The sequence below is a fragment of the Homo sapiens genome, chromosome 9, assembly GCF_000001405.40.
Source record: "Homo sapiens chromosome 9, GRCh38.p14 Primary Assembly".
Classification (NCBI taxonomy): domain Eukaryota; kingdom Metazoa; phylum Chordata; class Mammalia; order Primates; family Hominidae; genus Homo; species Homo sapiens.
In genome coordinates this window covers 29,796,114-29,799,871 of record NC_000009.12, presented here as the reverse complement: position 1 = coordinate 29,799,871, position 3,758 = coordinate 29,796,114, and positions in this window count along the sequence as shown.

Sequence of the window (3,758 nt, the reverse complement as noted above, 5' to 3'; positions counted from 1 at the left end):
AAAAACCATTTCATGATTTTTTTTCTCGGGTTTTTTGTCCATTTTTTAAAGCTCTTCTCTCCTCAGAATGTCATTCTCGCCCCATGATCTTGCTGTGTTTCCAGTCTCTCTTGAATTTAAGTTAACGTGATCTATTTCTTCTAGTTACTCTTTATGGCTTTCCCTTCCTCTTATACAAGAAAATCTTCCACTGATCAATACTTTTCACCTCAAAAGCATAATTATTTCTATTAACGATGAAAAAAATGAAGCGGAGTGGTCAAGTGTATTTGTCAGTTTAAATGTGGGCCTGACTTCGAAATTCTGTACTTTTCAATTACTTCTAAGGCTGTCAATACATAATTACAAAAAGTTCTGCTACTCCCACACATACAAACAGATGAAGGGATGGGTTAGCTGTATGCATTGTCAGGCAGCCCAACAGGCTAGTTTAGGCTTGTTATGTCCCCAAATACCTCATTCCTGGAAGCCTTTTCTAGAGAGTCCCACCCCTTTTCAGACAATGATGTTGAAACCAAGGTGAGTAAATGTTAACATTTGTGTTGTATATTTGCTTTAATGTAATGGGGTAGGTAGTTGATTTAAATGGTTCAGAAGATCAAAGTTTGGAAATAAATTAGGGATGCATATGTTCAAACAGTAGTTCAGGTTTTAATAAAAATGTGGAACCACTTTGGAAATTGTTTAAATAAGACTTCCTATTAATAAAAAAGGCCAGCCATAATTTTCCATTGGTCAAGAGTATGGAAAAGGAGAGATATTCTTTATATTAATTATTATCCTAAATCGAAAGGAAAAACTACAATTCCCCAGTTTTTGTATTCTGCAACAAGTTAACAATCATCATAAAAATTAAGAATGAATAGGGCAAAATCACATATCATAAGAACTGAACCGTTCTTACTGGAGATAATTATACACACTTCCAAAAGGAGAAAATGATACTAATAAATAGGAATTTATATAGCATCTATTTATTCTCATATTATATTGCATATCTGTTTTTTCATAGAGTTTTTCAAAAACACAAATACTTGGGCCACACCCCAAACCTACTGAGTCAGAATTTTCATCTACTATTAATTACTGTGTGCAACCACATTTCAGAAATACTGCTCTAGGCAATAAACTGCTGCTCTTCAAAAATACAAAAAAAAAGTTATTTTAATGCATTCATTATACAACAATTTGAGTAATAGGAATACAAAATAAATAAAAATAGTAAGAAGCCATTTTCACATCAAATTTATATTATTGTCATATTTTAAGAAAATAGTTTATTTTAAAATAAATGTTGGGGAGGTTTGGAGAAAGCAATGAAATCAAAGCTCACAACTTATTGCCTAGAATATTTTAAATATTTTGTTAAAAAATTATAATGATTGCAGAATGTGTGATAAGCTATATCAAAAGCTGTTTTGAAGAATTTCCATTTATTTATCTCTACCTTTCAGCATTTACTCAAAAATAATATGTAGGTTATTTTAAAATTATTTTACTTTATTTGGCAAAACATTGATTTGCTATGATTTCAAACATCATATATTTTTATAACAGTATGTGTTTACTTGGCAGTTTCAAATTTGAGCTATAGAACATTAGTTAATTTCCCAGACCCTGGCTAAAGTAAAGCTTGTCTTATGACAAGAAAAATTTACATTCCTAAAATTTCATTTATTCGGACTCTACTTTCTAATGTTTTATTTACATTTTGTAAGGAGCTTAGCTGAAGCCCAGTTCTACTTTGCTAATGTATTAATGGTATCCTCATCAAATAAATTATGAAAATAATTTTAGGAAGCATATCTCCTGTCACATAATAACTGTCTTCAATCATTATTTTCAAATCAAACTTTTATGTGAAAACCACGATCGAATTGTTATCAATGTGGGTCAAAGCTAGTTGAAAAGAAGTGGGAAAACTTTTCACAGTTTCCAAAATTATGAAACAAAAAATGATACTGATTTTTGTGTAGCGAAATATAGCCTACATATATAAATATGCATGAATCAAATATTTAGCAAAATATTTCCACAAAACAAACACTTATGTAACCACCACTTGCGACAACAAATGAAATGTTTGTCAGCATCTTAGATTCTTTAATTGGCCCATCCTAGTAATAACATTATTTCTTCCCTCTAAAGAATATCACTATTCTGAATTTTATGGTAATCACTTCCTTGTATTTCTGTATATTTCTTATTTTATGTATATATTAACTCTCTATATAAGGTTTTATAAACAATCTTGTTTAGGTTTTCTTATATGGGTATTATTCATAAGGGAAATTGCAATTCTACATTCTTTTGTTATAAGCTGCTTTCATTCAAAAAAAATTTTTTAAAACTCAAGCATATTTTTGCATGTAGTTCCAGTTCAGTAATTTTCATTGCTTAGTACTCTTTTTATGAAGATAAACAATTTTATTCCTTGTATTGTTAAAATGCATTTGGGATTATGGCTTATTCAGGTTTTGACTTATGAATAATGTTGCTAATAACACATCTTATACATGTTTTCTGGTGCACACATGGACACATTTTTCTAGGGAATATGCTTAGGAGTATAATTGTTGGATTTTAGTATATGCCTATTGTACTGAAATACAATTATAATTCTAACTATCTGGATTTAATGCAAATCCCAGGAGCTCATGGCATTATCACCATTAGGAATGTTACCACATCAGATGCCAGCAGCAAGTTTAGGGGTTCCCTAGTCTCCCCTGTTTCAATAATGAAGTTGAACCACATTTCTGACTTGCTTGCTACAAATCCAGGGGTGTTCCCATGAATGATTCAGTTTTGAAAATTCACCAGAACAACTTGCAGAACTCAGGAAAGTTCTATACTGACAGTTTATTTATCCTGATACAAATCAGGATCAGTCAAATGAAGAGATTTCTAGGACAAGGTATGGTAAGTTCCCAAATGCAGATGTTCTGCGCCTTCTCCCCATGGAATCAGGGTGCATCACCTTCCCACAACATTCATGTGTCCAGTAAGCAGGAGGTCCACCAAACTCCAGTGTCCAGGGTTTTTATTTGGAGATTTATTACACACTTATGATTGATTGAATCATTGACCATCTGACTGAAGTCAATCACCCAGACATCCTCCCCTGCCTGGAGGTTGAACTGGCTCAAAGCCTCAACCTCCTAATCATATGGTTAATCTTTCCAATGACCAGCTCCCATCCTAAATTGTCCAGCTAAACTAAGGTGTATCCCAAGAAGCCAATGAGTAATAAAGACACTCCTGTCACTTGGAGTATTCCAAAAATTTTAGAAGCTTTATTCCAAGAACTCAGAACAAATACCAGAACAGTTCTTGATATGCAACACCTGTCTTTAGAGTCTGTAAATAATGTGAAACTGGTATTGAAAGTGGTTAACCAAATCACTCCCCCACAAGCTGTTTATGAGCTCCCGTTTCTTCACATACCAAAACTTGTGGTTTATTTTTTGTTGCTGTTCTTTTTATTATTTTTTTCTTCTTTAAAAAAATTCAACTTCTGGTTTATCCATAGGGATATCACACTGTAGTTTTAATTTATATTTATCTATATAATAATGAAGTTGAACCACTTTTCATATATTTAATGACTGGGTATCCTCATTTCTTTCTTTAAAAATAGTGCTCAAGTCTTTCGTCCATATTTCTTTTAGGATTCCTATCATTTTTTAAATTGATTTGTAGACCCTCGGTACATATTCTGGATATAAACTCTGTTAGTTTTACGTATTTCAACTATA